This window comes from Homo sapiens, chromosome 8, assembly GCF_000001405.40.
Source record: "Homo sapiens chromosome 8, GRCh38.p14 Primary Assembly".
Classification (NCBI taxonomy): Eukaryota; Metazoa; Chordata; class Mammalia; order Primates; family Hominidae; genus Homo; species Homo sapiens.
Window position 1 is genome coordinate 119,855,962 of NC_000008.11, and position 23,333 is coordinate 119,879,294.

Here is a 23,333-nt window from a genome sequence, read left to right on the forward strand (position 1 = left end):
GGGAAGGCCTGCCGGCTTCTGGGAGCGCGAGCCCCTCCGTGCCCCACGCCGGACCGCGACTGCAGGAAGGAAACGCGGCTTCCCGGGGGGCGGTCTCGGCGGAAGCTCGCAGGGGCAGAGCTGCGACTCGGCGGGTTGGGACACGGATCCCTCGCCCACCCTTTCCGCTGTCCCCTTGCCCGCCCCCCATCCCCGATCTCCGTCCCTGGTTTCCAGCCGATGCTCCCATTTCCTCGCCGTCCACATTGTCTCACCTTCCGCCAGTGGCGGGCCCTGTGATAACCACTTGGCATGTATAATTCCATGAGCCCGTTGCCACAACCCTGTAAGGTGGTGCCTTGGTCATTCCCTTTTGCCAATGAGGAAGCAGGCTCCTTGCTCGTGATGGCAGAGTCAGGAGGTAACAGAGTCTGACTCCAGCCTAGCCGACTGTGGCTCTAAAAGCTTCCTGCGGGGTTTTGTGCAAATAACCCATGCTCGGGAGCGAGGCCCTGGGAAGGAGTATCTCGCTTCTTTGGGTCAGGGCACCATCATATCTGGAGACAACGGCGGGACTAGTCTATTCGTTGAATACCTAGTGTTAACCGAAAAGTGACTGATGCAGGTCTCGTTCAATAGAGGTTTATTTAAGCAAGGTTGAGGACGCACCCGAAGGGAAAAACAAGTCACAGGAGCATCTGTGACTTGTACATTTTCCAAAGGTTTGGGGAACTTCAGTATTAAGAGTTTTAAGAGAAAAGGTTTTCACTATGCACACATACATGAATTGCTTGTAACAGCGTAATGTGTAAACTTTCCCAGAGATGCTTAGGGAATCGTTGAGGGCCCTGGCTGTCCCTGAGAGCTAAAATAGTCTGGGAGGAATCACTTAAGAGATGGTGACCTCCTACTAGTTAGTGCAAATCAGACCTTGCTTGAAGTGAAAGAAAGTGGTGGGTAAGGTGTTGAATTCAAAGGATCTGAGCAGACATTTTTTTCAATTCTTGGGTAAAATGATACGAAAATACCAGAGTAGGGCATCCCAGGAGTCTGGGCAGTGCTTTCGTTGGTGGTGGAAAGATTGGTTCATGTGACCTACTTCTTCACTAGCCTCTTTTACATTTGAATGCATAGGAATTCGGTGGAATGAAATCCTGAATGTGACAGTGGTTGCCTGATAAGAAGTTATTATTGAAGGGAATCAACCATTGTAGTTGCTCTATTAAATGGGAAACATTCCCTACAACTAGAAGCAGTGTCAACTAGAACCCTGACATTTACATCAGACAGGCATGGCTGCGAATCCCAACTCTCTTCAGAACTTTGTGACCTAAGGCAATTTACCTAATTTCTCTGAGTACAACTTCCTTATCGATAAAAAAGCACATAAGACCTACATTCTTAAGATGTACATTCTAAAATGCATGGCTGCTTAATAAATGGCAGCAGTTCTTTTTGTTTTTATGTATTAATCATTATGAATTTAATTTCCAATTAATGGTATGAAATTATTGCCATTAATTTGATATTCTGTCAGGGAGCTGGACCTGTGTTCCTCTCATAAGACAAAATGATGATAGTTTTTATTAATTCATTCTTTAAAATTATGTTAATATGTTTTTCTAAAGTAAGAAATTTTCTGTACCTTTTCAAAAAACGATTGAAGCTGGCTTAATCATTCATCTGGTAGCAGGAAAAAAATATTCTTTATCAGGTAAAAAAATGAACAGTTATAATAAATTTCAAAAGTTCTGTTCATGAGAACAGAATCAGCTAAAATTGATTCTGTTCTCTTGGACACTGTACTCTTGATTATATTGCTCATATATTGTGTTTCATGGCATGAAATGAGAATTTTATTTACTAAATCTTAGTTCATATTATAGAATCATGTATGAACTTTTTTCCTTTTCTTTTCCTCTCTTCTCTTCTTTTTTATTCAATAAAGAGCACAGTGACGGCCAGGTGCAGTGGCTCACGCCTGTAATGCCGACACTTTGGGAGGCCAAGGTGGGCAGATCACCTGAGGTCAGGAGTTCGAGACCAGCCTGGCCAACATGGCGAAACCCCGTCTCTACTAAAAGTACAAAAAAATTAGCCGGGCATGGTGGCAGGCGCCTGTAATCCCAGCTACTCTGGAGGCTGAGACAGGACAATCGCTTGAACCCAGGAGGCGGAGGTTGAAGTGAGCGGAGATCATGCCACTGCACTCCAGAGTGAGACTCTTGTCTCAAAAAAAAAAAAAAAAAAAAGGAACACAGTCACTTCCAGACATTCCAAAAACTGAAAATGTGGCCTTGCTTTCGGTCCTTATTCTTATTACTGTGACTTTCTAACAGATTTTCCTGCTTTTCATCCCCCTTCCCACTGCCCCTCCATCTGTATACCACAGTCAGATTAATTTTCTGAACATGAAGTTCTCTAGTGACATTACACTATGCTCACAGGTCATCATCAACCACTCCCTCTCCTGTCAAAGCTCATACTCAAACCTCTGCTGGTTTCTGGTTTTCTGTGCTTTGTGTCCGTTCTGCCTTTCCAGACTCCACGGCCCTGAGTACTCTTCACACACATGATAGCCAAACCTACAGATGGCCCCGTCCTTCCCTACTTTCGTGCTTGTGTGGCCAGGCATGTTTAATTTCAGCCATCATTTACACATTATTATTATTATTATTATTATTATTATTATTATTATTATTTGAAATGGAGTCTTGCTCTGTCACCCAGGCTGGAGTGCAGTGGCACGATCTCGGCTCACTTCTGCCTTCTGGGTTCAAGCGATTCTCATGCCTCAGCCTCCCGAGTAGCTGGAATTACAGGTGTGTGCCCCCATGCCCAGCTAATGTTTGTACGTTTAGTAAAGACGGGTTTTCGCCATGTTGGCCAGGCTGGTCCCGAACTCCTGACCTCAGGTGATGGTGATCTGCCCACCTTGGCCTCCTAAAGTGCTGGGATTACAGGTGTGAGTCACCGTGCCCAGCCCACATATAAATTAGAAAAGTTTTCATTAACATTTTCGTTTTTCGTCTTTTAAAAAAAATCAGGATATCTATCAACATGGGACTCATATTTCTGGATAGCAGCAGTAGGCTGGAGTTGCTAATTGTTTCTTCATAGTTCTCTTCAGGTCTGTGCCAGGCTCTCTCAATATGGAAACTTATATTATTCTTCAGTTCTGGGAAGTTTTATTATATGATTTCTTTGATAAGATCACCTCACCGCTACCCCATCCCAGATTTTTTTTTCTTTCTTTCCTTATTTTATTTCTTTTCTTTTTCTTTCTTTCTTTTCAGACAGGGTCTCACTCTGTTGCCCAGGCTTGAGTGCAGTGGCTCCATCTCAGCTCACTGTAACTTCTGCCTCCCAGGCTCAAGCTATCTTTTCACCTCAGCCTCCTAAGTAGCTGGGACTACAGGCACGGGAACCACCATGCCTGGCTAATTTTTGTATTTTTTTGTAGAGATGGGGTTTTGCCATGTTGGCCAGGCTGGTCTCGAACTCTGCGACTCAAGTGATCCACCTGCCTCAGCCTCCCCTAAGTGCAGGGATTACAGGCATGAGCTAGAGTGCCTGGCCTGTTCTATATTTTGGAAATCTACTTTTTATATTTTCTTATATAGACATGTAAGTTTCAATATCAGATATTTGGTTTTAGCAAGATAAAGAAAATGATAGAAAAAGTGAGGCAAAATGTTAACAATTAGTACATCTGGGTAAAGTGAATAAAGATCAGGGAAACTCAAAGCCTAGGTACAAGAAGTGAGTGATGGCTCTAGGGCAAGTATCAGGTTGATTGAGTAGCTAAGCTGGTAGTTCCCTTGTGTCCAGCTATAATAAGCCAGCAGTAACTTTGTAAGCTAAAGCAGTGTGGGAAATGGTCTTGGATAGGCTGAGAAACGCGCCCCCTCCCCACCTTGCAGCTAATGAATCATGCAGCGCTGGGGAGCATCAGCTCCCAGAAGACAAACTACCACCAAACCTCCCTATTCAAGGTATGGCCTTACTCCTTCCAGACAATCTCTGGAGTTAGGGAGAGAACACAGAACAGCTGGTGCACAGGGCTTCTCAGATATAAAGCTGAAGAGAGAATCATCGTTTGTGTACATCCAATAGCACAAAATCGAGACATCTAAAATCGTCAAATAGAAGAGTTAGCACCCCAGGAGGCAGAATAGAGCAAAAACCACATGACTTTATGGTAAATACACTATCTTCACAGTGATGGGAGATAATTCTTAGAAAAGAGTCAATCAGAGATCAGAGATCATTTCCCAGCTTCCCAAATGTCGGTCCCATTTGGAATGACATATTTAGTATTTGGCAGCCTCTCCTTAGGTCTTTCACTCCTAGAGTAAGAATTACTAGGCCACGCCTAGTAATGGTAGCTCACGCCTGTATTCCCAACACATTAGGAGGCCAAGGCAGAAGAATTGCCTGAGCCCAGGAGTTCAGGACCAGCCTGAGCAACAGGGAGACTCCCTGTACAAAAATAAAAAAGAATTATTATAGTAGAAAAGGCCAAGTAGAAGCACTGAAATTGACTCCATGCAGAAATTAAAAACAGCATCACATAACAGAGGTAATGGCAAAAATTAATGCTACCCTTAAAGATTTAAAGAATGCAGAGTTAGTGGTTCCTCTTATACCTGCATTTAATTCACCTGTCTGGCCCCTGCAACTGCTGTGATGAATGTAGTATCTTTCCTAAGACAGTTTAGCATGGTTTACGTTTTTTGTATCTGTTATGTTTGACCTCATCTCTCCCACCTTTTTTACTTTATTTATAGCCATATTTGTTTTGTTGCTTATTTTCTTCATTATCTTTCATTGGATTGCTTTTGTTTGATTTTTTTCCTCCAGCAGTTTGGAACATATGTACCCTAACCGAACTCATCTACTACTTTCCCTTTTCCTCTTCAATGTTTCTTTGTAGCATTGGGCACACTGGCTTTCTTTTCTTTTTCTTTTTTTTTTTGGTTTTTATTTATATCATATTGCCTCCTGCCATACAGTGCTCTGTCTGGCGTATTCTTCCCTATGTTCTTTATCTGGGTAACACCTATTCATTCTCTAGCCAATAACACTGTCTGATAGAATTTACTGAGATGTTGGAAATGTTCTATAGCTCCACAGGTGAAGTGGTAACTACTAGCCCCATATGGCTTTTGAGTGCTTGAAATATGGACAGTGAGAATGAGAAACTGAATTTTAAATTGTATTCAATTTTATTTAATTTAAATTTAAACATCCACCTGTGGCTAGTGGCTACTGTATTGGAACACTCAACTCTAAATCAGTAGTTGCTTCTCAGAAATCTTTCTCTGATCTCCCTGATCAGGTCAAATCTCTCTAATATAGGCTCACATGGTAGAAAATCTTCTCGTTTTTAGTTTTAAGTAAATTGCAATTTTATATTTATTTGTGTGATTACTTAATGTCTTTTTTGTCAGACTATAGACTTCAATAAGATAAAATTTTGGTTATCATTAAGCAAATGCCCAGCATGTAGTAGATCATCATATATATTTGTTGAACAATTTGCTGAATGAATGAATGAATGAATGAATTATAACCATGCTTTACCTCTAAGGAGAGGAGTAGAAGGGTAGATAAAAAGGGATTTCTTATTTATCTTTATATATCTTAACACAGAGAACACATTCATGCATTAAATATGTGCAATTAAAAACATTAAAAATATTTTCCTCAGCTTTACAAAACCCAATGTACAGACAATAACTTCAAATGAGCAGGTAATAAATCACACATGAATAAAGAGAAAGAAAAAAGGAAAGAGAAGAAGGGAGGGAAAAGGAGAAGGAAAGAGTTGATCATTCTATTTTGTGACACAGATTAAAGGGGGACAAGAATAGAAGCAAGGAGACCTGCCAAGAGGCCAAATGAGAGATGAAGGTGGCTGGATTTAAGAAGTAATTAGGGCTGGCCACGGTGGTTCTTGCCTGTAATGCCAGCACTTTGGGAGGCCCAGGCAGGAAGACTGCTTGAGGCCAGGAGTTTGAGACCAGCCTGAAAAACGTAGTGAGATCCCCATCTCTACAAAAAAAAAATTTTAAATACAATAAAAATTCGTTGTTGTGGTGGCACATGCCTGCAGTCCCAGCTACTCAGGAGGCTAAGGCAGGAGGATCACTTGATCCCAGGTGCTTGAGACTGCAATGAGCTATGATTGCACCACTACACTCCATCTTGAGCAACAGAGTGAGACCCTATTTCTTTTTTTATTTTATTTATTTATTTTTTGAGATGGAGTCTTGCTCCGTCGCCCAGGCTGGAGTGCAGTGGCATGATCTCGACTCACTGCAACCTCCGCCTCCTAGGTTCAAGTGATTCCCTTGCCTCAGCCTCCCAAGTAGCTGGGATTACAGGTGTCTGCCACCATGCCCGGCTAATTTTTTTTGTATTTTTAGTAGAGATAGGGTTTCACCATGTTGGCCAGGCTGGTCTTGAACTCCTGACCTCAGGTGATCCACCCGCCTCGGCATCCCAAAGTGGTGGGATTACAGGCACGAGCCACCACACCCAGCCCCTATTTCAAAATAATAATAATAATAATAATAATAATAATAATAATAATAATAATAATTTGGAGATAGCATGGACAACAGTGAACTTGGAGTTTGAATTAAGGTCTTGCCAGAAGCTAAAATATAAAGCTTTAAAGTGTACATATATTGTAGTTATGAGAGTGCCTATGATTCCTGGGCGCTGTGGTGCGTGCCTGTAGTCCCAGCTACTCAGGAGGCTGAGGCTGGAGGATCGCTTGAGTCCAGGAGTTCTGGGCTGTAGTGCGCTATAGCGATCGGGTGTCCGCATTAAGTTCGGCATCAATATGGTGACCTCCCGGGAGCGGGGGACCACCAGGTTGCCTAAGGAGGGGTGAACTGGCCCAGGTCGGAGAGTGCCTATGATTGAGATCATCCAGGGACAGTGTGATGTGCAACTGATAAAAGGGCTGAAGTTAAAGCCTCACTAACATTTGAGGTGGAAGCCTTGAAAGAAGTATCTGCCAGAGGAAAAAATTGCAAGCAATTGGAGAAATAGAATAAAGCAGTGTCTTGGAAACTGTATTACTTTGTTTCAAATGAGCAAGTTCTGGTTTACAGCAAGATTCATTTCATTCTATGAAAAATAGAGTAGCTTAAATTTTAATTTCACATCTTTTGTTAAACTTCCAACATTTTGCTTATAAAACAATCAGGCTTTTACCCCACTAGATGGCAGTATTATTTAATGTTTTATAGAGCAGCCTGCTTTGCCTTTTTTTTCTTCCACTGCCTTAGAAAAGGAAAGTGAAGGAATATTTATTCAATTATTTACTGAGTTAAGCACTTAACTGAGTACCCTGTATAGGCCGGGCGCGGTGACTCACGCCTGTAATCCCAGCACTTTGGGAGGCTGAGGCAGACAGATCACGAGGTCAGGAGATCGAGACCATCCTGGCTAACATGGTGAAACCGTCTCAACTTAAAATACAAAAAAAAAAAAAAAAAAAAATTAGCCGGGCGCGGTGGCGGGAGCCTGTAGTCCCAGCTAGTCGGGAGGCTGAGGCAGGAGAATGGCGTGAACCCAGGAGGCAGAGTTTGCAGTGAGCGGAGATCGGGCCACTGCACTCCAGCCTGGGCGACAGAGCAAGACTCCGTCTCAAAACAAACAAACAAACAAACATACACAACTGAGTACCCTCTATATGCTACCTCATGCAGTCCCTGCAATAATGTAAGCCAGAATCTTGGCATTTCTCTGTTCAAAATGCTTCAATGGATTCTGATCTCCTTTAGAATAAAAACCAAAGTCCTTACCAAGGCCAATAAGACCTTACGCAATCTCCATTGCCCCACACCCCATAACCCATACCTTGCCACTCTCTAAATTTACAGAACACACTTTTACCTCAGGCCTCCTTTGTTTTTTTAATCAACCTTTTTGAGGTATAAATTAAGTAAAATAAACTGCATCTGTTTAAAGTATACAATTAAATCTTTTGGCACACGTACACACTGATACCTTCTCTTTCTTAGAGGCAGGAGAAAACTTTTGGGGGGTGATGAGAATATTCTGCATATTTGGTTTTTAATATTGCGCACATTCTCATCACCCCCAAAAGTTTTCTCCTGCCCTAAGTAAGAGAAAGAGAAGGAATATTTATGAAATACTAATTTCTGTTTACTTTGTGTTTGCTTTACTCTTCTTTTTCTAGATTCGTATCATTGTGTTAGACCTTTCTTTTCTAATATAAATACTTTAAACTATTAATTTTCCTCTAAGATCTGCTCTAGTTACGTCCCACAAATGTGGAGATGTAACTGAAGTATTGGAGAGTTATCTTTCTTTTATTTATTTATTTTTTTTTGGAGACAGGGTCTCGCTCTGTCACACAGGCTGGAGTGCAGTGGCGCAACCTCGGCTCGCTGCAACCTCCGCCTCCTGGGCTCAAGCAATTCTCCTTCCTCAGCGTCCCAAGTAGCTGGGATTACAGGTGCCTGCCACCATGCCCGGCTAATTTTTGTATTTTTAGTAGAGACAGGTTTCACCATATTGGCCAGGCTGGTCTTGAACTCCTGACTTCAGGTGATCTGCCCGTCTTGGTCTCCCAAAGTGCTGGGATTAAATAAAATAAAGACAGCATTACTTCCAACTGTTATACTTGTAATACTGTTTTTGTATTTGTTTTGGGGTATTAAGACTTTTTATTATGACAACCTGCAAAGTTTTGACCTTTTGTTTTCAGTGCCTCTGTTGAGAGAACTCTTGTGGCCCTTTATCAAGCAAAACTTTCCAGTAAGCACACATATTTATATCAAGCTCAATGATTTTCCAGGTCATATATTGTGATGGACAAAAGTAAAGATGTTTGATAACTTCTTCATCAATGGTATTTTTCATTTGAGAACAAAATAATATTTTAATGTTGCAAGGCACTGAATAAATACATTTTCTGTGCCTAGAACTGGGCTGGACCCCACAAAGAGAGAAAGGAGGATGACAAAGGTGCCATGCTTATTTATAATTTAGGAGGAGAGAGAAGACATATACTCAAGAAACAAAATCTATTCCATGCTGTATTGGAGTATGCTAACTGATGGTTAGCGTATAATATGATGCTAACTGATGGTTAGCGTATAATATGATGCTAACTGAGGAGTATGACAGTGCAGGAGTCATAGCAGGTTGATCTCAGAGAACCGCCATCATTTCCCTTCCTCCTTTTTTTTTTTTTTTTTTTTTTTGAGATGGAGTCTCACTGTGTTGCCCAGGATGGCCTGGAATTCCTGGCTTAAGTGATCCTCCCACCTCAACCTCCCAAGTAGCTTACCACTGTGCCTGGCTCCCCTTTATTTGATGTAGTTATAAAACACTAGCTGATTATCCAGGCCCATAGGGGGATGGAACTAATACCATGTACAGCACTTGCAAAGCTCCTTCGAATTTCTCATTCAATCCTGTGAAGTTGATGTTACCATCACATTCATGGTCTGAAACAGCCAATAGTGAAGACAGTCAGGGCTCTCAGTGGCTGGGCAGCCTGGAGGTAGTAACACCTACATCACAGGGTTGTGATGAGGCCAGTAAAGCACATAGAACAGAGCGACTGGCCTGTGGGAAGAGCTTGGGGTTCAGTGATCTGTCTCTATGGAGAGGCAGTAGAATGGAGGAACTTCCAGCGGGGCCTCTAAAGCCAGAGTGGCTAGGTTCAAACCCAACCTCTATAATTTACTCTACTACAGAAGACTTGCCTAGTCCTCTCTGGGCCTCAGTTTCTTCATCTGAAAATAGGAAGGAAAATAGCCAACTCACAGGGTTATTTTGAGATATAAATGTAATACTTTTTGAACATGACACATAGCAAGAGCTCAATAAATATAACCTTATTGTTATTCCACCTAAAAAATTATCAATCCCATCTAATTCAATGTCTCCTTTAAAAATGACAGATATGTGGCCGGGTGCAGTAGCTCATGCCTGTAATCCCAGCACTTTGGGAGGCTGAGGTGGGCAGATCACCTGAGGTCAGGAGTGCAAGACCAGACTGGCAAACATGGTGAAACCCTGTCTCTACTAAAAATACAAAAATCAGCCGGGTGTAGTGGTGGGAGCCTGTAATCCCAGCTACTTGGGAGCCTGAGGCACAAGAATCGCTTGAACCCAGTAGGCGGAGTTTGCAGCGAGCCAAGATTGTGGGACTGCACTACAGCCTGGGTGACAGAGAGAGATTATGTCTCAATAAATAAATAAATAAATAAATAAATAAATAAATAACAGATATGTAACTCTCATTTTCTTTTGTTGTCATTAAATTAATAGATAACCTTGCTGTGTACGTAATTTGAAAAATCAATATAATGCCCTTAATAGAGTATTAAAAAAGAGAAATTATGTGTAATAATGTATATTTCAGTATTTAAATTATTACAGTAGAAGGCCTAATGAGATAGTTGTAGTCAGATGTTTACAACTACTCATAATGAATAATTTTAGAATAAGAAAATTAAGACAATATTTAGCTGAATATTACCATCAATTCTTTTTTATACTTGGCATTTTAAACTTTGGCTAAGTAATATATTCCTATTCAACACACACCTAGAATTACCCCACATGTGAGAGCTCCAAATGCAGACTGAAGTTGTGTTATACTGGAGGTGTGTATGCCACACAAATGGCACAAAAGAGGAGTAATTTTATGCAGTGATAAACCTTTCTTAGTAATATTTTAAATAGAACAATCTTTTCTCAATGTACACAATAGTTACATTCCTGACCATTGAGGATTATACGCTAATTTTTTTTTTTTTTTTTTTTTGAGACGGGGTCTCACTCTGTCACCCAGGTTAGAGTGCAGTGGTGCGATCTCAGCTCACTGCAACCTCCGCCTCCCAGGCTCAAGTAATCCTCCCACTCAGCCTTCCAAGTAGCTGGGACCACAGGCATGCACCACCACACCCGGCTAATTTTTTGTATTTTTTCTTGAGGTTTCACCATGTTGGCCAGGCTGGACTCAAACTCCTAAGCTCAGGCGATCCACCCTCCTCAGGCTCCCAAAGTGCTGGGATTACAGGTCTGAGTTACCGAGCCCAGCCTACCTACTAAAATTGTGACAAAAATACCTCATAAGAAAAACATTCAGGATTTGGAACAACCCAATTTTTTTGTGAGTTGTTGTCCCAAACAAGTGAGAATATCTAGCATTCCTAGTCTTTGATCACTAAACCCAGTAGCATTCCCAATAATATGACACACCACAGCCTCCACCCCAAAGTTCCCAACAAACCCTCGTGGGGGGTGACCCTTTTTCTGTAGGAGACCTACAAGCATTTCGTGTCATTGCGAAAGCAATCACTAGGTGGCAGCATATATCAAGGTACTCAAGACCATGCGGGAACCAAGGTTAAGATTAGTAAGACTTCCTGGGAGGTGAGCAGGGTTGGAAATGAAGGACAAGAGGATTTCAGTTTTATTTGTAATGTTTTATTTCTATCACTACAAAAAGATGACTCAAATATGACAAAAATATTAAAAATGGGTGTGAATGACAAAAGCCATGGAAATTGTACTTTTCTCTGTTTTTACATTTATTTATTTATTTATTTATTTAGAAACAGAGTCTCCCTCTGTCGCTCAGACTGGAGTGCAGTGGTGCGATCTGGGCTCACTGCAATCTCTGCCTCCTGGGTTCCAGCGATTCTCCTGCCTCAGCCTCTGGAGTAGCTGGGATTACAGGTGTGTGCCACCATACCCGGCTAATTTTTGTATTTTTATTAGAGACAGGTTTCACCATGTTGGCCAGGCTGGTCTTGAACTCCCGACCTCAGGTGATCCACCTACCTTGGCCTCCCAAAGTGCTGGGATTACAGGTGTGAGCCGCTGTGCCCGGCTTTTTACATTTATTTTTAAAAGATCTACAAACAGAAAGATCTGCACAGAATATTGCTAAATTATCAATCTTCCATTCACAAAGAGAATAAAAATTGTGGTAGCTAAAGAATCAGGACTTCCATTAATGGTTAAGAACAATTTAAATCTTCTGTAAGAAGATGTACATTTGGGCCGAGCGCTGTGGCTCACGCCTGTAATCCCAGCACTTTGGGAGGCCGAGGTGGGTGGATCACCTGAAGTCAGTAGTTCAAGACCCGTCTGGCCACATGGTGAAACCTTGTCTCTACTAAAAATACAAAAATTAGCCGGACATGGTGGCACACGCCTGTAATCCCAGCTACTCGGGAGGCTGAGGCAGGAGAATCGCTTGAACTCAGCAGGCGGAGGTTGCAGTGTGCCAAGATTGCACCATTGCACTCCAACCTGGGCGACAAGAGTGAAACTCAGTCTCAAAGAAGAAGAAGAAAAAGATGTACATTTGTAGGAAAGACTGAAACTGCTTTTGTAACATTATGACTGAGACAGCGAAAGACTTCTAACTTAACCAGCTCTGTCTTGCTTCTAACATCCAAGCTGTCCTTGTTCATTCCTGGGCATTGGCTGAAATAATTTGGGGAGAAACTTAGTTTATAGTTTAAACCAAAGACGATAACAGCCCCTTCGCAAAGCAGACCTCCTTCTTGCCTGGGGACTAGATTGCCTCTGTAGGACTAACATTAGCCACAAGATTAGAAATTATAGTCTAGGGATTATGCAGCTGGAGGCTACAAGATTCCGACCCTCCCTAAACTGCTCCTAAGATCAGTGCTTGTGATATTTTGCAGAGCCTGAACTTGATGGATCAGCTGGCACCACCCAGATCGATTAATTGGCTCATCTGATCTGGGGGCCCCCCCGACCCAGGAACTGACTCAGCGCAAGGAGACAGCTCCGACTCTCCATGATTTCATCCCTGACCAATCAGCACTCCTGGCTCACTGGCTCCCCCACCCACCAAGTTGTCCTGAAACACTGCTCACCCAGTGCTTGGGGAGACTGATTTGAGTAATAATAAAACTCTGGTCTTCTGGTTCTAGATCCTTGAGGAATCGCCACACTGTCTGCCACAATGGTTGAACTAATTTACACTCCCACCAACAGTATAAATAAAAACAAAACAAAACAAAACAAAAAGTGTTCCTATTTCTCCACATCCTCTCCAGCATGTGTTGTTTCCAGACTTTTTAATGACCGCTATTCTAACTGGTGTAAGATGGTATCTCATTGTGGTTTTGATTTGCATTTGTCTAATGACCAGCGATGATGAGCTTTTCCTCATATGTCTGTTGGCTGCATACTACCATTTGACCCAGCAATCCCATTACTGGGTATATACCCAAAGGATTATAAATCATTCCACTATAAAGACACATGCGCACGTATGTTTATTGCAGCACTATTCACGATAGCAAAGCCTTGGAACCAACCCAAATGCCCATCAATGATAGACTGGATAAAGAAAATGTGGCACATATACACTACAGAACACTATGCAGCCATAAAAAAGGATGAGTTCTTGTCCTTTGCAGGGACATGGATGAAGCTGGAAACCATCATTTTCAGCAAACTAACACAGGAACAGAAAACCAAACACCACATGTTCTCACTCATAAGAGGGAGTTGAACAATGAAAACGCATGGACCCGGGAAGGGGAACATCAAACACCAGGGCCTGTCAGTGGGTGGGGGGCTGGGGAGGAATAGCATTAGGAGAAATACCTAATGTAGATGACCAGTTAATGGGTGCAGTGAACCACCATGGCACATGTATACCTATGTGACAAACCTGCACGTTCTGCACGTGTATTCCAGAACTTAAAGTATAATTAAAAACAAACAAACAAACAGCAACAACAAAAAACCTCTGGTCTCCAGCACAGCCGACTCTGCGTGAATTACTCTTTCTCTATTGCAATTCCCCTGTCTTGATGAATCGGCTCTTTCTAGGCAGTGGGCAAGGTGAACCCCTTGGGCGATAAATAGCAATAAACTGCTTGGAGAAGTGCAGGAAAATAGCCCAGAGAAGGTGGCATTTCAGTTAGCCTTTAAAATCAGGCAGGATGGCCCGGCACAGTGGCTCATGCCTATAATCCTAGCACTTTGGGAGGCTGGTGGGAAGGTCACCTGAGGTCAGGAGTTCAAGACCAGCCTGACCAACATGGTGAGATCCCTGTCTCTACTAAAAATACAAAAAAATTAGCCAGGCCTGGTGGCACATGCCTGTAATCCCAGCCACCCAGAAGGCTGAGGCAGGAGAATTGCTGGAACCCGGGAGGCAGAAGCTGCAGTGAGCCAAGATCATGCCACTGCACTCCAGCCTGGCTGATAGAGGAGACTCTGTCTCAAAAAATAATTAATTAATTAATTAATTAAAATCAGGCAAGAATAATACCAATGCATATTAAAAGGCAACAATAATCATGACAGCTAACATATTAATCTTCATAGCTGACAGTATTCTTTCATGCATTTTATCAATTCAAGTTCATCTCCTTTTTATATTGCTGCTGACCTTTAGGAAGTGTTTATCACACCAGTGCTACTCCAAGTGTGGTTTGCTAACTGGGCACGATCTTGGCTCACTGCAGCCTCCGCCTCCCAGGTTCAAGCAATTCTCCCACCTCAGCCTCCCAAGTAGCTGGGATTACAGGCACCTGCCAACACACCCGGCTAATTTTTGTATTTTTAGTAGAGACAGGGTTTCGCCATGTTGGCCAGGCTGGTCTTCAACTCCTGGCCTCAAGTGATCCACCCACCTCACCCTCCAAAAGTTCTGGGATGATAGACGTGAGCCACTGCACCTGGCTTCATTTGTATTATTGTATTTCATCAAAGTATCAGGCTTCAATGGGTTGAAAGCATACACACACACACACAGGTGGATCTTCCCCGCCAAACCTTTGAGAAGCACTGGCCCCAAAGCACCAAAACAGACAGAAGGCATGAAAGAGGTAAGTGTGGAGAGCTAGAAGAGAAAAGTGTGGAGAGCTAGAAGAGAAAGCTCACACTTAATAGTTCCCACCTGTAATAAGTGCTTTCAGTAAATTTTATTTAATCCTCCCAATAACCCAATGAGATTGGTGTTATTATCTAAATTTTACAAAAGAGGGACAGCAAATTCAGAGACGATAAGGAGCTTGCCCAAACATGGCCAAGAATCAAACCAAGGTTTGTCAGAATTCTGTTTTTCTGAAATATTTATGCTGAATTAGTTGCCATATGAGTGCCCTTTTCTCCTTGATCAATATCTAAAAAATTACAGTTTATCTGGAACCAGTTGCTCCTGGGCTCACAGTCATGGACATGTCCTCAGGATGTGGCTCACCAATTTTTCCCTAAGTTAGGAAAAAGGATCTGTCTTCTTACCCAGTGGAGCATGGTGTGTGTCATATGTCAAAAGGTTAAAACAATAACAGCAAACCAGTTCCCATTTCCTGTTCAAATATACCTACCTATACACACACCGCCCCCTACACACACCTCTTATCAGGCAAGAAAAATAAATCATGCTCTCTCACTGTCACTGGAACAATAGCATCAGGTATTTTCCTAACTCGAATTTTCTTTTCTTTTCTTTATGTTAAGGTGCTTTTTTATCTTAAAGTTACAAATTTGTGTTACTGACATGGATCTTGGAAACTTTACATAATAGAAATTTTAATGTTATTTATTTTTTCTTTTTTTTAAGTGTCAGGGTCTTGCTCTGATACACACACTGGAGTGCGGTGGTGCAATCATAGCTCACTGTAACCTTGAATTCCTGGGCTCAAGTGATCCTTCCACCTCAGCCTCTCAAGTAGCTGAGACTACAGGTATGCACAACCATACCTGGGTAATTAATTTTGTTTTTTTTTTGTAGAGACAGGGTCTTGCTATGTTGCCCAGGCTGGCATTGAACTCTTGGCCTCAAGCAGTCCTCCCACCCTAACTTCCCAAAGAACTGGGATTACATTATTTCATTTAAGCCACGCAACATCCCTATGAAGTAGAAATTATTATTCCTGTTTTATCGATAGGAAAGGGAGGCCAAGAGAAATAACTAGCATAAGGTTGCAAAATTAGCAAACGACAGAATTGAGATAGAAATTGCATGTTTGACTGAGAAGCCCGTGCAAACTCTTGATATTCTATTTAGTAGTTATAAGATTAAAACATGAGCAACAGACACCTTTTAATCTCATTAACTCTGGGACTTCTGTTGAATGATTTATGTATTTTATGCAGAATAAGGCTCTTAGAATCACAGTCACCTAGAACTATGTCTGCCTTGGTCTACATGTCTATTGTGGCCTATTTAAAAAATTAAGAAACTTAAATAATTTCTTTTGGCAAAAGAGTCACCTAACATCTGTCTCATGCAGATTCAGAGCTGGTCTGCTCCCGGATGTTCAAGGGAGTTGGGCAACTATTCTCTTTCTGGAGTGGGGCTGAGTATGGCCAGGGTTTAAGGGCTACCTAACTTTCTAGGCAGATTACTTCATCTTTCTATACTTAAGCTTTCTCATTTGTAAGTTGAAAATAATACCAAACTCCAGGGTTTTGTGAGGATAAAGTGTTTGGCACAATGTAAAGCACAGAATAAATGCTCAACACACATGAATACTGCCATAAACATTACTTCGCCTTCCTGCAGACCAACTCCGACTCTGCATGAAACAGAAAATCAGAACATTTATTTGGTACTAATCAAATTTCTTTTCATAATCTTTTACGGATAGACAATACCATTGTATCCCCATTTTAAGAGGCAGTCTTTCAGTCTTTTCAAAGCATAACTTTGAAGCCAGAATTGCCTCGGTTAGATTTCTTCTTATTATTATTATGATGATTTGAGACGGAGTCTCGCTCTTGTTGCCCAGGCTGGAATGCAATGGCACTAACTCCGCTCACCCGAACTCGGCTTACAGCAACCTCCGCCTCCCGGGTTCGAGCGATTCTCCTGCCTCAGCCTCCGAAGTAGCTAGGATTACAGGCATGCACCACCACGCCCGGCTAATTTTGTATTTTTAGTAGAGACGGGGTTTCTTCATGTTGGTCAGGCTGGTCTGGAACTCCTGACCTCAGGTGATCTGCCCGCCTCGGCCTCCCAAAGTGCTGGGATTACAGGCATGAGCCACGGTGCCCGGCTCTTCTTATACTTATTATTTGCTTGCCTTAGACAAGTAACTTCACCTCTCCAAGCCTGCATTCTAATGCAAAACGAACACCAATACCTATTTTATGAATTATTGTAATAATTAAACGAGGTAATACCATACCTGAAGTATCTTTAATGCAGCAGATGTCAAAAGTGGTAGCCGCAATTATTTTTATTTTGTAAGGGAGGATTAAACACATTTAAATAGGACATCACAGGAGCGGAGCTGGATCCCAGGTCAGCCTGATTCCTAGGCCGGCGTTCCTTATTGATTACAACATAAGGCAAACAAGTCGTCTTTGGAGAGAGAGGTTGGGGAGAGAAGAATGTTTAATTTCTCCATGCCCTTCAATGACATGTATAACCTTCACTGTTGACCATTTGGCCAGATTGTTGAATTATGTTTTGCTCTCTGGCAACTTGGGGTGTGGAACGTACAATAAAAACGCCTTCACACTAATAACCTCCAGGCCTGTCCCCAGGATTCTACAGCATGAGCTTTGTGGGTAAAGAGAGCTCACCAAATTCAGCCTCCAGCAGCACACACAGCTCAGTAGCAGCGCCCCGCCCAGATGTTTATATTTTCCTCCATCGGCCCCGCCCCCCGACCATGAGGGGCTCTAGCCACGCCCCCAAGCTCAAGTTTCTGGGGCCGGACTAGCCCAGCGCGTCTGCCTACCCATAGGGATTCCCTCTCCAGCCAATCCAGTCAGAGCAGCGGAGCTGCCCCGAACAAAGATGGCGCGGGAAGCGTCTGTGAGGGCAGACTGATCCGAGCACCCAAACCCTCGGCGGACAGCGGAGCCAGTGGTAGCCGCACGGCCCTAAAACCATGGAGGAGGGCGGCAGCACTGGCAGTGCTGGCAGTGACAGCAGCACCAGCGGGAGTGGCGGGGCGCAGCAAAGGGAGCTGGAGCGCATGGCTGAGGTCTTGGTCACCGGGGAACAGCTACGGTAAGGCAAGAGACACAGCGGGTGAGCTCACGATGGCACTGCCAACGCGTGCCCGCTGCAGTCCTGCGCGCACGCGCTCCCTGGCTCGTGGCTTGCGACTCGCGTGGGGCGCCGGAACGGCTGCGGGCGCGTGGATGGTCCTCGGTGCGCCCGCGCTTAGCTGCTGCAGCCTCGGTCCCTGAGGACTCGCTCGCCAAGCGGGGCTGCCTGGCAGAAGCCGACGAGCGGGTGGTGCGCGCTGCGCCCTAGCCTGGCTGCTGCAGTCCTGTGCCGGGCAAAGTCCCTGCCACCCACCGCGCTGTCCGTCTTCCCGTGTACCTGGACGCCGCCAGGCCTCCCGGCTGACAGCCTGCGCCTCATCCGCGAAGAGAGCAAGAGGGGTCGCTGTGGGGTCCCGAGGCGACCCCAGCCCCTCTACTCCTTGATAAAAGGAGCAAGACCAACGATAGTCTTCACTAGGTTTTCCTTTTTGCTGACAAGTCTTCCTTCACTCCCCTGAGCCTCGGTGTTTTACATCTGTAAAACAGGGCTGATTCAAGGGCTTTTTGTGAGGTTAAACTGAGAGAGCATTTCTGAAACCCTGCACCTATCAGTTAATTGGCACATCGTCCTCAATCATTTGGGTCCGCAAGGGGGCGTGGAGGCACCTTGTCGGGCTGCCTTGAGGCTGTGCCAACTCCCCGGGCTCGCACGTTTTGGGCAGCAGGATCCATGGGGACCCTGGCTCCTGCAAGAATTAAGACTTGCGGCGTCTCACGGAACTTGGGAACAAGGACGACCCCCAGAATCCCCCTTGCCATTCCCATCCCTGTATGGTCCTTCCTCTAGGGCTGTTTGGGAATAGTACTTATGGTCTAACTGGTTCTGCAGCTGCCCTTCGTGTGGTTATAAATCAGTTTGCCAGGAAAAAGAAAACCCAGCTCTGCAGCGTTTGAGCCACAACTTGTACGCGGGCCCCTGTTACTTCTAGTTCTTAGCCTGAATTCCCCAGCTTGTTTTGGTTTCTAAATGTCTGTGTTTCAGGACCTGAAAGAGTGTCTTGCAAAGGTCTCTGAAGGAGACCAATATTGGAAGTCAGAATTAACTGATTTTTAATGTTACAAAAGGCAAATTGCACCTATCGATTCTTTGTTGATTTTTAAAAATACGTGGTCAGAATTAAAGGGAATAAAAACTTTTTTTCCTTCATCAAAAGTACTTTCTAATGAAACCTGTCACGCGGTGCCCGTGTGAAGAGACCACCGAACAAGTTTTGTGTGAGCAATAAAGCTTTTTAATCACCTGGGTGCAGGTGGACTGAGTCTAAAAACGGAGTCAGCAAAGGGAGATGGGGAAGGGGTTGTTTTATAGGAGTTGGGTAGATGATGGATAGTGGTGTAAGTTTGTGAGGTGCAGTCCAAGAAGGCGGGGGTGACTTCATAAAGCCCTGTTGTAAAGAGTAGAGTAAGGAAGAAGAGACCTGATATCCCTTGGAGAATAAATGTTGAAGGAGCAGGAGGGTGTCTTGCTGAGAAGATTCAAAGGAGAGGCTACAAAGTAGAAGGTCATCAATATATTGAATAAGGTGAGAAGCAGAGGGGTAGAAAGAAAGTAAATCATGAGAAAGGGCTTGGCTGAAGTAATGAGGGCTGTTCCTGAAGACTTGCGGCAGTACAGCCCAGGTAAGCTGCTGGGACTGATGGGTGTCAGGGTCAGTCCAGGTAAAAGCAAAGAGAGGCTGGGACGAGGGGTGCAGGGGAATAGTGAAAAAGGCATCTTTAAGATCAAGAATGGAATAGTGAGTTGTGGAGGAAGGTATTGAGGACAAAAGAGTGTACAGGTTTGGCACCACAGGGTGGATAGGCAAAACAATTTGGTTGATAAGGTGCAGAACCTGAACTAACCTGTAAGACTTGTCCAGTTTTGGGACAGGTAAAATGGGGGAATTGTAAGGAGAGTTTGTAGGCTTTAGAAGCCCAAGCTGTAGCAGGCGAGTGATAACAGGCTTCAGTCCCTTTAAAGCCTACTGTGGGAAAGAAAGTTTAATTTCTCTGCTCTTCATTACTGGGCCATCTTTTTAAAAGTCTTCTGTTGGATAGGGTTACTTATTTTTCATTTATTTTACAAATATTAAATTGCATGATGGCTCTTTTTGTCCAGCAAGTACTTTTTCCTTCAAGATGCAGTTTAAATGCCTCTTCCTTGCAGTCCCCAGAGCACTTGTTATTCCCCACTTTTCTAGCGCCTCTCTGCACTGCAGCAGTTTTGAGAGCCATCCTTGTCATGCAGGAATTAGACCTGGGTTTGAATGACTGCTCCACCATTATGTAGGCAAGTGTCAGCATTAAGTTGTTTCAAGGAAGACTTTAAGCTAGACTGAATCTTGGCTTTGCTACTTACTAGTGTGGGACCTTGGACAAGTGATTATGCCCGTAATCCTGGCCCTTTGGGAGACCAAGGCAGGCGGATCCCTTGAGGTCTGGAGTTCAAGACCAGCCTGACCAACATGGTGAAACCTCATCTCTACTAAAAATACAAGAATTAGCCGGGTGTGGTGGTGCATGCTTGTAATCCTAGCTACTTGGGAGGCTGAGGTGAGAGGATTGCTTGAACCTGGGAGGCAGAGGTTGCAGTGAGCCAAGACAGTGCCACTGCACTCCAGCCTGGGCAACAGAGTGAGCCTCCATCTCAAAAAAAAAAAAAGAAGAAGAAGGATGGGTAATAATGGAATTTACCTCATAGTGTTACTATGAGGATTAGATGAGTTGCGCTTAGGGTAGTTTCTGATAGATATGTAGTAAGCACCAGGTCAACATTAGCTAAGGTAGAGTTCTGTGACCTTGGACAAGTAAATTCACTTCTCTGAGTCTCTGTTTCCACATTTGAAAAAGACAATGAAGATGAATGTATTTCATGGAGTTGCGAGAATTTGCCCCTGGGCTTCATGTATTAATGAGCATTCAACAAATAGTTCCTGGAATTAATTAGTATTATTGGTCTCTCTGCATCACTGCATGTGACTTCCAGCCAAGCAAGATTGGGCAGGAAGGATTGGGTGGTGGTGAAGAGCGCAGGATATAGAACTAGGCTGCCTGGGTTCTTATTCTGCCTCCACCATTTATTCTGTAACTTTAGGACAATATGTTTAGCCTCTCTGTGTCTCAGTTTCCTCTTCTACGAAATGTTATTCTGATGACACTTCTTCAGGAGCTCTGTGAGGATTAAATGAGATGCTACATGTAAAAGGCTTAGGAAATGTTAGCCACTTAATTCTACTTTGGAAAATTTTAATCATTGCTGTTTTTTATCTCAACTGTTTTGGCACTGTAACTAGCACATAGTAACTACTCAGTAAGTAGTTAAATGAATATCGTAAGTATTCAATATACTTCTGTTAGTACAGAGCAGTATAATAGTCAGAATTTAGGAATTAAAGCGGTCGTATGCCTGGTTTCCTAGTTATTGGAGGGTTGGAAGTTCAGTCATTCTTGTCACTTTCACAAAGAGTTCTTCTGTCTGTAGCTCCCCTCTCACTGCAGGATTGTAAGTGCTTTGCAATGTCCAGGCCTCCTGCCTCTAAGTGCTTCACACACTCTCAGTTCCCCTCTGCTTTCTCTCACTTTGCATTACTTTCTGGGTCATCAGAGATGAGGTAGAGGTGATAAGAGGAAACCAAGGACTGGGATTTGAAATAAAAAATTTAGCCTCTAGGCCCAGTTCTATCAATTTCTTTTTCTTTCTTTAATTGTAGCTATGCCCTCTTGAGCAAGTCACTTAACCTCTCTAGTCCTAAGCATCCTTCCCTACAGAATGGGAATAATATCTTCCCACATAAGATTTGTGGTAGTGGATCAAATAGGGTACAGCATGGGAAGAAACTTTGTAAAATAAATCGATAAAGCAAGAAGAGTGTTGTTATGACTATTGTAACCTCCAGATGTGAAATTGGGGGCTGGCTCCACAATCCTGACGCTTCTTTTTTTGTTTGTGTTTTGTTTTTTGAGATGGAGTTTCACTCTTGTTGCCCAGGCTGGAGTGCAATGGCGCGATCTCGGCTCACCGCAACCTCTGCCTCCGGGTTCAAGAGATTCTCCTGCCTCAACGTCCCAAGTAGCTGGGATTACAGGCACGCCCTATTTTCTATTTTTTAAATTTATTTTTCTTGAAGCACAAGAATCACTTCAACCCAGGAGGCGGAGATTGTGGCTAATTTTGTATTTTATTTATTCATTTAGTTATTTATTTTTAGAAGAGACGAGGTTTCTCCATGTTGGTCAGGCTGGTCTCCAACTCCCGACCTCAGGTGATCCGCTCACCTCAGCCTCCCAAAGTGCTGAGATTACAGGCATGAGCTGCACCTGGCCAATCCTGACACTTTTTTTTTTTTTTTAAGACAGCATCTTCACTTTGTCATCAGGCTGGAGTGCGGTGGCACTATCTCGGCTTACTGCAACCTTCGCCTCCCAGGTTCAAGCGATTCTCCTGCCTCAGCCTCCCGAGTAGGTGGGATTACAGGTGCGTGCCACCACACCCAGTTAATTTTTTTTGTGTGTGTGCTTTTAGTAGAGACAGCGTTTCACCATGTTGGCCAGAATGGTCTCGATCTCTTGACCTCGTGATCCGCCCGCCTCGGCCTCCCAAAGTGCTGTGATTATAGGCGTGAGCCACCATGCCCGGCCAATCCTCACACTTTTTAAAGGGCGGTTGGTTGTATAAGGACAAGAAATTAACTAACAGACCTAAAAATATCTCTTGCTTCCTTTTTCAGCTTAACTGCAGGACCCTTTGTTTAATTTTCTTCATGTTTTTCCCTTGTCATAAAAGATTTTACTTCCTTCTCCCAATGTATTTCAATTTTTGCATCTTAAAGATGCATTTGGGGCCAGGCGCGGTGGCTTAACACCTGTAATCCCAGCACTTTGGGAGGCTGAGGCGGGCGGATCACCTGAGATCGGGAGTTCAAGACCAGCCTTACCAACATGGAGAAACCCCATCTCTACTAAAAATACAAAATTAGCCAGGCGTGGTGGCACATGCCTGTAATGTCAGCTACTCGAGAGTCTAAGGCAGGAGAATTGCTTGAACCTGGGAGGCAGAGGTTGTAGTGAGCCGAGATCGCGCCAATGCACTCCAGCCTGGGCAACAAGAGCAAAACTCGGTCTCAAAAAAAAAAATGCATTTGGATACTACTTCACAGCCTCCAGGATGGGTATAACAAAAAAGACAGTCACAAGTGTTTGTGAGGATGTGGAGAAATTGTGGAGAAATTAGAACCCCTACACACTACTTGGTGGGAATGTAAAATGGTACAGCCCCTTTGGAAAAATATTTGGCAGCTCCTCAAATA

The 23,333-nt window shown here is 43.6% G+C and overlaps 1 protein-coding gene, 1 long non-coding RNA gene and 1 pseudogene across 5 annotated transcripts in view, besides 10 other annotated features; all 3 read left to right on the plus strand.

Annotated features, from left to right (window-relative positions):
* The window catches only part of LOC105375728 (uncharacterized), a 36,035-nt gene extending 23,083 nt beyond the window's left edge, over positions 1 to 12,952 (plus strand). For all 3 annotated transcript variants that reach the window (XR_007061078.1, XR_928590.3, XR_007061079.1), the window contains one exon: positions 12,702 to 12,952. This is a non-coding gene — a long non-coding RNA (uncharacterized LOC105375728). The remainder of the gene's footprint in view (positions 1 to 12,701) is intronic.
* Positions 25 to 84: a silencer, noted in NCBI's record as "silent region_19483". NCBI's record gives its function as "represses an Ori minimal core promoter by ATAC-STARR-seq in GM12878 lymphoblastoid cells {active_cell/tissue: GM12878}" and the evidence as "EXISTENCE:reporter gene assay evidence [ECO:0000049][PMID:35858748]".
* RN7SL396P (RNA, 7SL, cytoplasmic 396, pseudogene) lies at positions 6,704 to 6,899 on the plus strand (annotated as a pseudogene).
* Positions 11,668 to 12,169: an enhancer, noted in NCBI's record as "H3K4me1 hESC enhancer chr8:120879869-120880370 (GRCh37/hg19 assembly coordinates)". NCBI's record gives its function as "activates a minimal SCP1, AML or CMV promoter by ChIP-STARR-seq in naive H9 embryonic stem cells {active_cell/tissue: H9 hESC(naive)}" and the evidence as "EXISTENCE:reporter gene assay evidence [ECO:0000049][PMID:30033119]".
* Positions 17,588 to 17,882: an enhancer, noted in NCBI's record as "tiled region #238; HepG2 Activating DNase unmatched - State 1:Tss, and K562 Activating DNase unmatched - State 1:Tss". NCBI's record gives its function as "activates a minimal TATA promoter and a strong SV40 promoter by Sharpr-MPRA in HepG2 and K562 cells {active_cell/tissue: HepG2 | K562}" and the evidence as "EXISTENCE:reporter gene assay evidence [ECO:0000049][PMID:27701403]".
* Positions 17,588 to 18,123: a biological region, named in NCBI's record as "Sharpr-MPRA regulatory region 238".
* Positions 17,607 to 17,779: a silencer, noted in NCBI's record as "fragment chr8:120885808-120885980 (GRCh37/hg19 assembly coordinates)". NCBI's record gives its function as "represses an EF-1alpha promoter that drives an FKBP-Casp9 reporter gene in an ReSE screen in K562 erythroleukemia cells {active_cell/tissue: K562}" and the evidence as "EXISTENCE:reporter gene assay evidence [ECO:0000049][PMID:32094911]".
* Positions 17,623 to 18,123: an enhancer, noted in NCBI's record as "H3K27ac hESC enhancer chr8:120885824-120886324 (GRCh37/hg19 assembly coordinates)". NCBI's record gives its function as "activates a minimal SCP1, AML or CMV promoter by ChIP-STARR-seq in primed H9 embryonic stem cells {active_cell/tissue: H9 hESC(primed)}" and the evidence as "EXISTENCE:reporter gene assay evidence [ECO:0000049][PMID:30033119]".
* Positions 17,761 to 23,333, plus strand: part of DEPTOR (DEP domain containing MTOR interacting protein) — a 177,197-nt gene continuing 171,624 nt past the window's right edge. For both annotated transcript variants that reach the window (NM_022783.4, NM_001283012.2), the window contains exon 1: positions 17,761 to 18,007. In NM_022783.4, the coding sequence (NP_073620.2) occupies positions 17,886 to 18,007 (122 nt within the window). In that variant the 5' untranslated portion in view covers positions 17,761 to 17,885. The remainder of the gene's footprint in view (positions 18,008 to 23,333) is intronic.
* Positions 17,799 to 18,058: an enhancer, noted in NCBI's record as "active region_27845". NCBI's record gives its function as "activates an Ori minimal core promoter by ATAC-STARR-seq in GM12878 lymphoblastoid cells {active_cell/tissue: GM12878}" and the evidence as "EXISTENCE:reporter gene assay evidence [ECO:0000049][PMID:35858748]".
* Positions 18,124 to 18,624: an enhancer, noted in NCBI's record as "H3K27ac hESC enhancer chr8:120886325-120886825 (GRCh37/hg19 assembly coordinates)". NCBI's record gives its function as "activates a minimal SCP1, AML or CMV promoter by ChIP-STARR-seq in naive and primed H9 embryonic stem cells {active_cell/tissue: H9 hESC(naive and primed)}" and the evidence as "EXISTENCE:reporter gene assay evidence [ECO:0000049][PMID:30033119]".
* Positions 18,259 to 18,358: an enhancer, noted in NCBI's record as "active region_27846". NCBI's record gives its function as "activates an Ori minimal core promoter by ATAC-STARR-seq in GM12878 lymphoblastoid cells {active_cell/tissue: GM12878}" and the evidence as "EXISTENCE:reporter gene assay evidence [ECO:0000049][PMID:35858748]".
* Positions 18,449 to 18,498: an enhancer, noted in NCBI's record as "active region_27847". NCBI's record gives its function as "activates an Ori minimal core promoter by ATAC-STARR-seq in GM12878 lymphoblastoid cells {active_cell/tissue: GM12878}" and the evidence as "EXISTENCE:reporter gene assay evidence [ECO:0000049][PMID:35858748]".